This window comes from Homo sapiens, chromosome 3, assembly GCF_000001405.40.
Source record: "Homo sapiens chromosome 3, GRCh38.p14 Primary Assembly".
Lineage (NCBI taxonomy): Eukaryota > Metazoa > Chordata > Mammalia > Primates > Hominidae > Homo > Homo sapiens.
Window position 1 is genome coordinate 175,976,311 of NC_000003.12, and position 15,316 is coordinate 175,991,626.

Here is a 15,316-nt window from a genome sequence, read left to right on the forward strand (position 1 = left end):
CATCCTAATGAAAAATTCTTCACTGATAATAAACAATGTTTTAAATAAAGAGGTGCTGCCTTGTGGGACCATTTCTTCCTATGCAAGGAGCATTCTCATAACACAACAAATTTCTTCTTTCTGTCACATAAAAACCCAGTCCCCCGAAAGAGTGGCTTAGTGAATTTCTTCACTGCCGTGTTTTCATGCCTGGCAAATATATAATTCTGTTGTCACTGACTTGATTACTATAGCCTTTTTTTACTCCCTTTAAATACAATTTATTGTAAACTTGATATGCATGATACTCATGTCAATTCTGATGGTTTGTAAGGACCCGAATATGCTATGGAGTAGAGTTTCAGGTAGATGTGCAACCTATCATTTTGAGAATATTTCTATCTTTGCAAAAACATCTCAGCAAAACTATATACTATGTTCCTGAGTAATTCTAAAACATAGACTCATTCTATAAATTCTCACTTAAATTCAGTGCCAGAACAAACATTACTGCTTGCTTACACCAATCAAAAATATATTAACCTGCTGAATTTATTGCTCATCTCTGCTCAAAACCCCATTTTGCATGTATGGTAGTATTTATTCCTCTATGTCTTTTTTTTTTTTTTTTAAGGTGTGCACTTTTATTCAACTGGTCTTAAGTCAGTGTACAAGTAGGCCCTGACTACTTCCACCCACTCCCAGGGAGACCAAAAGCCTTCATACATCTCAAGTTGGGGAACAAAAAGGGGGAGCCACAAAGGCTGATCATTCAAAATAAAACAAAATAAAAAAAATTAAGGTGAAGATTTTAAAAAATTTGCATTACATAATTTACATGAAAGCAATGCTATCACCTCCCCTGTGTGGACTCAGGAGCAGACTAGGGCGTTTTACTTAGAGAAAAGTGTGGTGGCTTTTAGGAGGGCAAGGGACTTCTTGTAACAATGCATCTCACGATATTTGGAATGACTATTAAAAAAAGAACAATGTGCAATCAAAGTCCTAGGCCACATTGTAGAACTTTGGAGAATGCTTGCTCCAATCGGCTGCTATCACCTTTGTTCCTGAGTCAAGCCAAAAAACAAACAAACAACAACAAAAACAAACAAACAAAAAAAGCCATGTGTCAATCTCATTTTGTTTTCTGTGCAAGGTAGGTTTTGTCAAGAAAGGGTGTAATGCAACTAAGTTACAGTCTGCCTAGAAGCATTTGCAGTGGACAATGGAGGGGCCGGACTCGTCATACTCCTGCTTGCTGATCCACATCTGCTGGAAGGTGGAAAGGAGGCCAGGATGGGGCTGCCGATCCACAGGGAGTACTTGCGCTCGGAGGAGCAGTGATCTTGAGCTTCGTGGTGCTGGGCGCCAGGGCAGTGATCTCCTACATCCTGTTGGCGATGCTAGGATACATGGTGGTGCTGCCAGACAGCACTGTGTTGACGTACAGGTCTTTGTGGATGTCCATGTCACACTTCATGATAGAGTTGAAGGTAGTTTCGTGGATGCCACAGGATTTCATGCCCAGGAAGGAAGGCTGGAAGAGCGCCTTGGGGCAGCAGAACAGCTGGTTGCAGATGGTGATGACCTGGATGTAGGGTAGCTCATAGCTCTTCTCCAGGAAGGAGCTGGAGGCCAAGCATGGCCATCTCCTGATCCAAGTCCAGGGCGACCTAGCACAGCTTCTCCTTGATGTCATCCACAATTTCCTGCTTGGCAGTGGTGGTGAAGCTGTAGGCGCTGGGTGAGGATGTTCATGAGGTAGTTAGTCACTCCACGGCCAGCCAGGTCCAGATGCAGGATGGCGTGGTAGAGGGCATACCCCTCATAGATGGGCACAGTGTGGGTGACCCTTCACCAGAGTCCATCACCGTGCCAGTGGTACGGCCAGAGGCCCACAGGGACAGCACGGCCTGGATGGCCACGTACATGACTGGGGTGCTGAAGGTCTCAAACGTGATCTAGTTCATCTTCTCGTGGTTGGCCTTGGGGTTGAGGGAGTCTCGGTCAGCAGCACGGGGTGCTCCTTAGGAGCCACAGGCAGCTGGTTGTAGAAGGTGTGGTGCCCAATCTTCCATGTCGTTCTAGTTCAGGGTCAGGATGCTTCTCTTGCTCTGGGCCTCGTCACCCACTAGGAGTCCTTCTGACCCATGCCCACCATCACACCTTGGTGCCTGGGGCGCCCCACGATGGATGGGAAGACGGCCCCGGAGGCATCGTCGCCTGCGAAGCTGGTCTTGCACATACAGGAGCCTTTGCTGACTACAAGCCCGGTGATATCATCATGGTGAGCTGACTGCGGGTGTGGACCGGCGGTGGGGCGGCGAGGGGGAGGCTCTGTCCTCGCGGGGCAAACGCAGTCTCCGCGGTCCTCCTGTATGTCCTCTATGTCTTTTAAGTATTTGTATATTGTCTTATCTTCAATGTTTCTGTTGATAATACGTTTAAGTCTTGGGGTTACCTTATAACTTCATGTATAGTAGGTGAATCTTAAAATTTATGTAAGGACTTAAATATGTCCCTTTTTTTGTTTATCACTAGAAGACTGTTTGTGTTACTTTGACTGACATTACAAGCCAAATCAGCTGGTGTGACTGTAAATAGACAGGATATTAATATGGGCTACAAAAGAAGACATATGAGTCTAATAATGTTGATGCTTCTTCTAGAAGAAAATGTCCCTTATTCTTATGTGTCCTAGTTAACTTTGTCTTTTTTCTAGCCTACGAATGTACTAGAGTGGCAAGGCTTTACATTCAAATGACCATATTAAGTTGTGTGTGTGTGTGTGTGTGTGTGTGTACTAAAATTAAAAACATTTTATTTTAAATCTTCAATAAATTCAAAGTAGCTTTAAATGTTTGAAACCAGCAACTTCGACTCATATATATATTTATTGTGATATTTATACCAATTGTTTTAGAAATAAAATGTTTCCTTTGGGAGGCCAAGGCGGGTGGATAAACTGAGGTCAGGGGTTTGAGACCAGCCTGACCAACATGGTGAAACCCCGTCTCGACTAAAAATACAAAAAATTAGCTGGGCGTCATGGCACATGCCTGTAATCCCAGCTACTTAGGAGGCTGAGGCAGGATAATTGCTTGAACTGGGGAGGCGTAGGTTACAGTGAGCCGAGATAGTGCCATTGCACTCCAACCTGGGTGACAAGAGTGAAACTCTATCAAAAAAAAAAGAAAGAGAGAGAAAGAGAGAAAGAAGAGAGACAAAAGAAAGAAAGAAAGAAAGAAAGAAAGAAAGAAAGAAAGAAAGAAAGAAAGAGAAAAGAAAGAAAGAAAAAAGTTTCTGTTGATGTAGAAGAAATATAATTTAACATGAGTATGTTTTCTTCTTAATACTGGTTCATAAACTCTTAAATCGTTACCTAATACTGTTCTGTTCTATCATTTTTCTTCCGAGAAATGAGGTGGTTTTAGATAATTTTTAAGGTACTTTCCTTTCTGTCTTCTTACTGCCAACAGTTTTTTATTTCTGGTTATTATTTTTCAATGTTCAATTTCATTTGCTACATTATTTAAATATTATATGTGGGTGGAAATTTCTGTAACCAATGGTTAACTGGTATGTAATAAAAAACAAAACGACTTGGGCATTCAAGGACTATGCTTCAAATATTTGAGTAATATCTATGGTTTAGTATATTAATTCTAATGTTTGATCACTAAGTAATGCATGACTAAATGCTTTATTGATACAATAACTTCAGACCCATTTTCTTTTGTTTCTTTTTTTTTTTAGATGGAGTCTCGCTCTGTCACCCAGGCTGGAGTGCAGTGGCGTGATCTCGGCTCACTGCAAGCTCCGCCTCCCGTGTTCACGCTATTCTCCTGCCTCAGCCTCCCAAGTAGCTGTGACTACAGGAGCCTGCCACCACACCCGGCTAATTTTTTGTATTTTTTTTAGTAGAGACGGGTTTCTCCGTGTTAGCCAGGATGGTCTCAATCTCCTGACCTCGTGATCCGCCCGCCTCGGCCTCCCAAAGTGCTGGGATTACAGGCGTGAGCCACCACGCCCGGCACAGGCCCATTTTCTACTTGATGAAATACAAAATAAAACAAAACACAAAATAAAACAAAACCTTTTCAAAATTAGATTTTATTCAGTCATAGACTTAAAACTTGCCTTTCTTTTTCTCTAGCAGTTATTGACCTTTCTTACAAGAGATTATTAGCTAAAGATCATGGCATTTTTATTTTGTTACCTTGAAGCTAAAGAATTTATTATCTCATCCTTAAGGCTGTGGCAGATCATTTTCTTCATGGGCTGTGTAGTACATAAATAATGCAAGATTTAAAGCCTTAGAATTCCTTTATCAGCAGATAGCAAAGTACTTAAAAAATCCTTTTCTGGCTTGAGGTAATAGTCTGCTTTTATGCTGAATCTACTCAAGGCTTTGTGAACTGCTTCTATATGGGAGATAAGCAAGTGACACTAGACAAATCTAACGGCAGACCTGCCTCAGACTGAATCCACCCTCCATACAATTCACCAGCAAAGAGAATTGATGTAAACACAACTTTGGTGTTTAAGATTATAATTTGGATGCAGCCACCTCTTTTATTTCCATTACTGAGTTTCTGGCATGGCTGTTAGTACAGGAATGAAAGAATTTGGATGATGCAAATGGAACTATGTAGTAAGATGGGGGAGAAAACTGCATAACTCTGATGCTCAGTAGAAATATTTTTGAAATTGGAAACAGAATGGCCATATTTACTTTCCTTAGTCAAGTTTAAATAAAACAGGAGACAGGTCGGGCCTGACTGACAGAAATATAACACATTTCTCAAATACTACAAGTTCTATTACCACCCAGGATAGGAGAAATAAAAGTCGATATTACGCTTTTCCAAAATGTATGTACTGGAATTTTGCCAAGTAATTATGTAGCAAATTTTGACCTGCTTTAAGATGGTTATCAACAGAGGTTTCAAAAGTTCAGCATTTCTGACTCTAGAAATTTAGAGGCCTAATTATTATACCTAACTTAGGTATATATTCCTAACTTAGGTATATATTCTAAAAATCACTTTTATTTGTAAAGCACTATTAAGAATTGGCTTATGAATTTTATTCCCAAGATGTTAAACTGCTATAACCAAGAAAGAAACAAAAATCTTCAATGGACCTGTATCATTTTCTGTGTTAAATATTTGATTGCCAAAATAATTCAATTAGCTGGTATTGAATAATAATAGTGAAAAGAACAAAATTTCAGTGTAAAGTATATAAATTAAATCTTTTACATGTGTAGTATAATGATTATAGGTATTCAAATAAAAATAAACATTTTAATAAAAAAATCAAAATCTTTTTGCCTCACTCACTTTATTTCATGCCTCATTAGGGATCTAACTAAGCAATAAATATAATTGATGATGTATTTTTCAAAAATCTTCAACAAATGTTTAAAAACTAAAATGAGTCTTAGGTAAACTGTGATTGAAACAAAAAAATTCAGTCAACCCAAAACCATATTATGTAATATTTTTACTTTTTGATTCTTTTCTAAAGTTTGTTAGAGCACAGGAAAAATTGAATTATCAAACTTTCAACTGAAGTTAGGTATAGTTTAGGTCTTTTATATGGTTTAACTAATTTAACATTCTCATTGTAAAGTAAAAGAAAGTAAAATCAGTATAATCTACCTCTCCAGATCTATTAATCTCTGCAATAGAAATTTTAAATAGCTCTACATATGCTATCACAATTGTGTCAGAAAATGGATGTGGTACTTTAAATAGTTTAATATGAGAAAATTCAGTTGATATTGTGGGGAAATATGCTACAAAGTCAATTAGTAATTAATGTATCTCAAAGTATTTTTATTATAACAAAATATAGCAAATATTTATCTAAAACTTAGTTTAGGAAGATGGGCCTAAATAAGGGTATTATTTGTCAGATAGAAAAAAATATGAATGTGAGTTTATTTAAACATGGTAATATTATCCTACTAGTATGATAATATTTCTACTGGGCCCATAAAATTTATTTTATCAAGCTTTGTTTCATACTATACATTACTGACAAAATAGGGCATAATTCCTCTGCTCTAAAGGAAATACATACTGAAGCTGTTAAAAAAAATAAAGAAAAAGAAAAGAACATGTTCTTTCATGTAAATGTACTCTTAAGCATTTTGAAGAAGTAGGTCATTGACTTGGTGCAAAAGCTTTTCCAGTCTCTCATGTAAATATGCATTTGACAGTTTAGTAAATTTCAGGTCAATGGTCCAATAGACCAAAAAGTCTTGGGGCTATTGGAGTGTATCCCGTAAATTCATGTTAAGGGAATTTAAAAGTTGCAGATTATTGACTTGATTATTGATGCAAAGTGGCCAATACAGCTTAATAGGTAATTAAATATCCTATCATAAAAAGTACATTTATAGAGTGCAGTCATTTATTAACATTGTAACGTAATATCACTTTTAAAGTTACTTGGTTAATTGTGACATTCTTTTTTGATAGCTCTTCTTTTCTTTTCCATTTTTCTTCCATGTATAAATATGCTTCACTTTAATAATGCTACAGACTTTTGCAAATTTTCATATAAACTTTCAGTAAATTACTTAAATGGACACCAAAAACGTTTACTGCATTGTGATTTTATCAATTATACAGGTAGTGATTATGTTTTGGTTTTAATTTTCATTTTTATTTTAGATTTGGGACTACTTGTTGTAAGGGTGGATTTCATGATGCTAAGGTTTGGGCTTCTATCAATCCCATCATCTAGATAGTAAAAATACTATCCAATAGAACGTTTTTCAGACCTTTCTCTGCCTTTGAAGTCTCTAGTGTCTACTATTCCCATCTTTACGTACATGTGTACCCGAGAATTAGCTCCTACTTCTAAGTGAGAACATGCTGTATTTGATTTTCTGTTTCTGTGTTAATTTGCTTAGGATAATGGTCTCCAGCTGCATCCGTATTGCTGGGAGGGACATAGTTTTATTCTTTTTTATTGCTGCTTATAAAAAGGGTCTATATGTACCACATTTTATTTATCCAAGCCTCTGTTGATGGGCATCTAGGTTGATTCCACGTCTTTGTTATTATGAATAGTGCTATGATGAACATATGAGTGCATGTGTCTTTTTGGTAGAATGATTTATTTTCCTTTGGGTATATATGCAGTAATGGGATTACTGGTTCAAATGGGAGAGCTGGTTCTATTATTAGTTGTTTGAGAAATCTCAAAACTGCTTTCCACAGTGACTGAACTTATTTACATTCTCACAAACAGTGTATAAACATTCCATTTTCTCTGCAGCCTTTCCAACATCTGTCATTTTTTGACTTTTTAATGAAGCCATTCTGACTGGTATGAGATGGTAATTCTTTGTGGTTTTGATGTGCATTTCTCTGATGATCAGTGATGTTGAGGATTTTTTCATTTGATTGTTGGCTGCTTGTGTGTCTTTTTTCGAGAAGTGTCTGTTCATGTCATTTGCCTACTTTTTGATAGGGTTATTTGTTTTTTTCTTGCTGACTTCTTTAAGTTCCTTATAGATTCTTGAGTATTAGCTCATTGTCAGATACATACTTTGCAAATATATTCTCCCATTCTGTAGATTGTCCATTGAATGTGTTCACAGTTTCTTTTGCTGTATAGAAGTTCTTTAATTTAATTAGGTCCCATTTGTCAATTTTTTTTTTTTTTTTTTTTTTTTTTTGCAATTGCTTTTGAGGACTTGGCCATAAATTCTTTGCCAAGCTGATGTCCAGAATGGTATTTCCTAGGTTTTCTTCTGGGAATTTTATAGTTGGTGGTCTCAAATCTTTAAGTCATCTTAAGTTAAGGTAAGGGAACTACAGGTTCATTCTTCTACATGTGGTTAGCCAGTTTCCCTACCACCGTTTATTGAATAGGGAGTCCTTTCCCCATTGCTTGTTATTGTCAACTTAGTCAAAGATCGTATAGTTGTAGGTGTGCTGCTTGATTTCTGAGCTGTCTGTTCTGTTCCATTGGTCTATATTTCTAGTTTTGTACCAGTACCCTCTTGTTTTGGTCACTGTAGTTTTGTAGTATAGTTTGAAGTTGGGTAATGATGGTGCTTTCATCTTTGTTCTTTTTGCTTAGGATTGCTTTGGCTATTTGACTATTTTGGTTTCATATAAATTTTAGAAGAGTTTCTTCTAATTCTGTGAAAAATGATGTTGGTAGTTCGACAGAAACAGCAACAAATCTACAGATTGCTTTGAGCAGTATGGCCATTTTAACAATGATGATTCTTTCAATATATGAGCACAGAATATTTTTTCCACTTGCTTTTGTCATCTATGATTTCTATTAGCAGTGTTTTATAGTTCTCCTTGTAGAGATTTTTCATGTCCTTAGTTAGATATGTTCTGAGGTATTTTATTTTCTTGTGTCTATTGTAAATGGGAATGTGTTCTTGCTTAAGCTTTCAGCTTTGAATGTTATTGGTGTATTAAAATGCTACTGATTTTTGTACATTGATTGTGTATCCTAAAAATTTACTGAAGTCATTTGTCAGTTTTAGGAGCCTTTTGGTGGAGTCTTTAGGGTTTTCTAGGCATAGAATTATATTGTCAGTGAAAAGAAATAACTTCTTCTTTTACTATTTGGATGTCTTTCTTTCTCTTCACTGATTGCTCTGGCTAGGACTTCCAATACTATGTAGAATAGGAGTGGTTAGAGTGGGCATCTTTATCTTCTTCCAATTCTTAAGGGGAATGGTTCTATTTTTGCCCATTAAGTATGATGTTGGCTGCGGGTTTGTCATAGACGGTCCTTATTATTTTGAGATATGTTTCTTCAATGCTGTGTTAGTTGAGGGTTTCTAACATGAAAGGATGTTGGATTTCATTGAAAGGTTTTTCTGAGTCTATTGGGATAATAATGTTAGTTTTTTAAAAATTATGCTTATGTGGTGAATGACATTTATTGAGATGCATGTGTTGAGCCAATCTTGCATCCCAGTAATAAAGCCCAGTTGATCATAATAAATTAACTTTTTGGTATGCTGCTAGATTCACTTTGCTAGTATTTTGTTGAGGATTTTTGTGTCTACATTCATAGTAGATATCGGCCTGTAGTTTTCTTTGTTGTTTGTGTCTTTGCCATATTTTGGTTACAGGATGAGGCTGGTTTCATAGAGTGAGTTACAAAGGAATCTCTCCTCTCTATTTTATAAAATAGTTTCAGCATTAATAGTACCAACTTTTCTTTGTACATCTGGTGGAATTCTGCTGTAAATCTACCTGGTCCAAAGTTTTTTATAGTCAGTAGGTTTTTCTTTTGTACTGAATCAATTTTAGAACTCATTATTGGTCTGCCCAGGGTTTCAACTTTTTTCTGATTCAATCTTAGGAGGTTGTGTGTTTTCAGGAGTTTATCCGTTTCCCCTAGATTTTCTAGTTTGTGTACATGGAAGTGTTCATAGTCGTCTCTGAGGATATTTTGTATTTCTTGGGACGGATTTTAGTGTCACCTTTGTCATTTCTGATTGTGTTTATATGGCTCTTCTCTCATTTTTTCTTTATTAATCTAGCTAATGGTTTAATGATCTTTCTTATCCTTTCAAATAAATAACCAAGTTTTTGATTCCTTGATCCTTTGTATAGTTTTTGGGGTCTCAATTCCATTTAATACTGCTGTGCTTTCTTTTCTTCTGCCAGCTTTGGGATTAGTTTGTTCTTGTTTTTCTAGTTTCTTTGATTGTGATGTTAATTTGAGATCTTTTAACTTCTTCAAATAGTCATTTAGCATTATAATAATTCCTCTTAACATTGCTTTTGCCACATCCCAGAGATTTTGATATTCGTGTCTCTGCTTTCATTTGTTTCAAAGAATATTTTGATTTCTGCCTTAATTTCATTGTTTACCCATAAGTCATTCAGAAGCAATTTGTTTAGTTTCTATGTAATTGTGTAGTTTTTGAGAGTTCTTCTTTGTGTTGATTTCTATTTTTATTTCATTGTAGTTCAAGCATATACTTTGTATGATTTCCATTTTTTTGAATTGACACTTGCTATATCACGAAGCTTGTGGTTTATCTTACATTATCATCATGTTCAGATGAGAAAAACGTATATGCTATGGTTATTGAGTGGAGTGTTCCATAGATGTTTATTGAGTCAAATTGGTCAAGTGTCAAATTTAAGTGGAGAATTTATTTGTTAGTTTTCTGGTTCAACAATCTGTCCTAATGATATCAGTGAGTGTTGAACTTCCCCAGTATTATTGTGTGGCTGCCTAAGTCTTTTTGAAGGTCTAGAAGTAATTGTTTTATGAATCTGGGTGCTCCAATGTTGGAGGCTTATATATTTAGTATAGTTAAATTTTCTTGTTAAATTGAACCTTTTATTATTATGTAATGGCCTTCTTTGTCAATTTTTACTGTTGTTGATAAAAAGCCTGTTTTATCCAATACATGAATAGAAATCTCTACTCCTTTTTGTTTTCCATTTGTGTGATAGATCTCTCTGTATCCCTTTACTTTGAACCTATGGGTGTCATTACATGACAGATGGGACTCTTGAAGACAGCAAAAGGTTGTCTTATTTTTCTATCCAACTTTCCACTTTGTGTCTTTTATGTGGGACATTTAGACCATTTACAGCTAAGGTTAATATTGATATGTGAGATTTTGTTCTTGTCATGGTGTTGTTTGCTTGCTTTGTGGTGATGAATGTGTTGTTGCTTTGTAGGGTCTGTGGGCTTTGTATTTATGTGTGTTTTTGTGGCAGCAGGTTATGTCTTTCATTTTCAAGTTTAGAACTCCATTAAGTAGTTCTTGTAATGCTGGTCTAGTGGTAACAAATTTGCTTAGCAATTGCTTGTCTGGGAAAGGTTTTATTTCTTCTTTGCTTATGACGCTTAGTTTGGTGGGATACGAAATTCTAGTTGGAATTTATTTTCTTTGAGAATGCTAAAAATAGGCTCACAGTGTCTTCTGGCTTGTAAGATTTCTGCTGAGAATTCCACTACTAGCCTGAAAGCCTTCCCTTTATAGGTGATCTAACCGTTTTCTCTAGGTGTCTTTAAGATTTTTTCTTTCATGTTGATCTTGAAAAGTCTGATGACTATGTGCCTTGAAGACTGCCATCTTTTATTAGCATCTCACATGTGTTCTCTGAATGTATTGTTTTTGCAATTTAACCTCTCCAACAAGATTGGAAAAATTTTCCTGGATTATATTCTCAAATATGTTTTCCAAGTGGCTTACTATAATGGTTAATATTAGGTGTCAAATTGACTACTGAAGAATGCCTAGATGGCTGGTGAAGCATTGTTTCTGGGTGTGTCTGTGAAGGTGTTGCCAGAGGAGATTAACATCTGAGACACTTGGCTGGGAGAGGAAGACACATCCTCAATATGGGTGAGCCCTATCCAATCAGCTCCCAGTGTGGCTACAATAAAGCAGCTGGAAGAAAGGGGGTAAGCAGCTTGCAGAATCTGCCCACTCTCGCTCTTCCCATGCTGGAAACTTGCTTTCTCTTCTCCTGCCCATGGACATCAGATTCTGTGTTCTTCAGCCTTTGTACTTTGGGACTTGCACCAGTGACCTCCCAGGGGCTCTTGTGCCTTTAGCCTTAGACTGAAGCCTGCAGGATTGGCTTCCCTGGTTTTGAGGCTTTCTGATTTGGACTGAACCATGCTACTGGTTTCTCTCTTTTCTCAGCTTGCAGGTGGCCTATTGTGGGACTTCACCTTGCAATCACGTGAGCCAATTCCCCCTAATAAACTGTTTTATATTACATATATCCTATTGGTTCTGTCCCTTTGGAGAACCCTGACTAATACACTTCCTCTCTCTTCTTGCTTAGGAACATAAATGAGTGGTAGGTTTGGTTGCTTTACATAATCCTATATATCTTGGAGGATTTGTCCATTTTTTGAAATTCTTTTTGCCTGATGGGCTTGATTCAAAGTACTGATCTTCAAGCTCTGAGGTTATTTCTTTTGCTTGGTCTGGTCTGTTTTTAAGGCTTCGAATTGTATTTGAAATTCTCGCAGTGAATTTCTCAATTTCAGAAGTTCCATTTGATCCTTTCTTAATATAGCTATATCATATTCAAATCTTTTATCATGTTTCTGGCTTCCTTTGATTGAATTTAATCGAAACTTTCTCTTGGACCTCATTGAGCTTCCTTGCCATCCAGATTCTTAATTCTGTGTCAGTCATTTCAGACATTTCAATCTGTTTAAGATTACATTGCTAGGGAACAAGAATGTAACAAAACACTCTGACTTTTTAAATTGCTAGAATTTTTGTGCTGATTCCTTCTCATCTGAGACAGCTGGCATTTCCTTTTATTTTTGAATTTGATGTCACTTGGATGGGGCTTTTTGTTTTGTTTTGTTTTTGTTTTCCTCTTGTGACTATGGTGAATGTTGTGTAGAGTTGAATGGCTTTGTTTCTGAGTGCTTTCAGAAGGCCAAGGTTTTGTACAGAGTCTTAGGTTGTATATAGGCTCCTGTGATGGGTTTCAGTGGCATTGCATGTTGGAGGAATGTATTTTTGTTTGGTAGTGTAATTCAGCCTGCAGTCCAATTAATAATGCTTATGAGTATAGGTGGGCAGATAAGCTCTTACTCAGCCACATGCTTCTTTTGTACTTCAGTGTGTACATAGCAGTGTGCTGGAGAGATGGCAGCTGGTGAGATATGACTCCCTCTCCAAGTCTGCTCCTGGGCCATGTGATGCCATCCCCTTCAACTATTGGTGCCATGACTATTTCCTGTGCCCCAGTGGGAGCTTTGGCAGGCTCTGCTCACCCCTCCCTTAGGGAATCCCAGCTGAGGGCTAAATCACCAGGAGAACCACAACTCCCTGGGGGCCTGCAGTCCCTTGTGTTTTTGAGAATCATAGCAGACTGTGGGATATGTCTGCTAGTGGTCTGATGGTGCACTGGGACAGGAGCAGAAGATCCCTGGGTGGGGCACTGGTACCATAGATATGCAACTTGGAAGGTACCTGCAGGCTGAAGTTTTCAGCCCAGCAGATGGCTGTGAGGAACACCAAGCTTACACTCCCCCTACCTGGTGAGTCTCCCTCTGGCATCTGCCCCAGGAACAGGATTGACCAGCTAGGCTTATCCCAAGCCTTCTGTGCCCAGGTCACTGAGCTGTTCCAGATGCTCTGGGCTACAGGATTCCCTAGAAAAGAAGCGGCAGCTGGCTGTCAGGCCACGCCCTTCCCAGACCAGGCTTGTGAAGGGAGGGATGTCCTGCACTGGCATATGAACCCATGTCACACTCTTCTTTGTCTTCTGAGAGTGGGGGTTCCTTTCCTGATTGAGCTTAGGCCACAGATCTCAGTTCAATATCCGTGAGTAGTGTGCTCAAATCCTAAGGAGTTGGGACTCGGCCCATGGATTTGTCCTCTGGCCCCTCAGGTTAAAGCACTGGCTATGCAGGGCAGGGAGATTGTTAGTGGGGTATGGGGGTTGGGAGAGTGGCTGAACTGCTCCCAGGCCACTAGCAAAAACTCAGGTGGGGAGGTGGTGACTGTGCTGTGGTGATCCTCCTGCAGGAGCATCTAGGCAGGCAGTCTTGAGAGGTCCAGCATGTAAGGGAATGTGTGGATTGGATGCACTCTGGTCCCACAATGGAAGCCTAGCTCTCCCTGGCCTAGCAGAGGGGAGGAGCTGCTGCTACTCAGAGCAAGGAGAGTCTTGGGTGATTGGCATCTAGGTCACATTTTGGTACAGTTGCCAGTGCTGGCGCCTGGAATCTCTGAGCAGGGTTCCCAGCTTCCAATCTCTACAACTATGGTGTCTGCATTGCCTCTCTATTGACTTTCTTTCAAAAGACCTGTTTGGCTAGGTGCAGTGGCTCACACCTGTAATCCAAGAACTTCAGGAGTCTGGGGTGGGAGGATTGCTTGTGACCTGGAGTTTGAGACCAGGTTGGGAAACATAGGGAGACCCCATCATTCCATAATTAAAAAAATAATAATAAGCCAAGCATTGTGACACTTGCCTGTAGTCCTAGCTATCTGGGAGGCTGAGGCAGGAGAATCACTTAAACCAAGGAGTTTGAGGCTTGTAATCCAAGCTGTGAGTACAACCTGAGTGACAAAGTAAGAGTCAATCTCTAAAACAAAAACAAAAACAAAAAAACTTATTCAAATTGTGATGATATTTACTCTCTATTTTGGTTCCTCTCAGTGGTTAAGGTATTCCTGGCTGTGTCTAGTCAGCCATCTTGCCTCCTCCAGGTAATGATCTTGGATGTATGCTAATATGAAATAATTTAAAATATTTTCTTTCAAATTTTTCTTCAGAATAAACTTATGTTTTATATTTTGAAAAGAACTTGAGTCTTATCTCTTCTGTAATGGTTGACAGTTTAGTGAGCTTTCCTGTTTATGGCACTGATAACTTATTTAACTTTTCCTTGATGGACTTTTAAAATTATTTATTCATGTTTGCAATTATATCTGTTAACACATATAATTAATTTATTTAGACAAAAATCAGTCATTTAACTAAAAACTATTTTATTTAACTTTGAGGCTAGTGTATATGAGCTCTGAATCAGACCATATTTGATATATTAGTTTTCCAAATAACAGTAATAAGAAAACATTTTAGTCAAATAAATGCAGCTTATATGTGATACCTAGAACATGTTCTACAAATGTTTCATATTATTTTTTAAAATTACATGAAAGGGCTGGACATGGTGGCTCACGCCTGCAATCCCAGCACTTTGGGAGGCCAAGGCAGGCGGATCACCAGAGGTTAGGATTTCGAGACCAGCCTGGCCAACATAGTGAAACCCTGTCTCTACGAAAATACACACACAAAAACAAAATTAACCGGTCATGATGGCGGGTGCCTGTAACCCCAGCTACTTGGGAGGCTGAGGCAGGAGAATTGCTTGAACCCAGGAGGCGGAGGTTGCAGTGAGCCAAGATCGCGCCACTGCACTCCAGCCTGGGTGACAGAGTGAGACTCCATCTCAAAAAAAAATAAAATTACATAAAAAGAAAATTTTAATATTTGTAAATAAAAAAATTAAACATACTTATGAAACACTATTCTTGGTTTTAAAAATTAATATTTAATATTTTCAAATGTTTTACTTGGATCAATACTTGATAGATAAATGGCCCATCTTTTCATTCACTTTTTTCCTCCCATACTTGAGCTATTTATTTCAAAGAGAGATGCCTGAATATTTTGTTGCCTATTGTTACTTCCAGGATGAACTCTAAACCTTACAGGTCGTGATTATGTAAATTCCTTTAATATCTAGCTTCCAGCTTACCTTTTCTGCCTAAACTCTTTACAGACCCACCACAAAACCTATTCACAATTAGTAGGTTCCAGAAGCT

At 37.9% G+C, this 15,316-nt stretch overlaps 1 pseudogene, besides 1 other annotated feature; it reads right to left on the reverse strand.

Moving 5' to 3' along the window:
• On the reverse strand, positions 1,176-2,265 carry ACTG1P23 (actin gamma 1 pseudogene 23; annotated as a pseudogene).
• Positions 9,439-9,966: an enhancer, noted in NCBI's record as "NANOG hESC enhancer chr3:175703537-175704064 (GRCh37/hg19 assembly coordinates)". NCBI's record gives its function as "activates a minimal SCP1, AML or CMV promoter by ChIP-STARR-seq in primed H9 embryonic stem cells {active_cell/tissue: H9 hESC(primed)}" and the evidence as "EXISTENCE:reporter gene assay evidence [ECO:0000049][PMID:30033119]".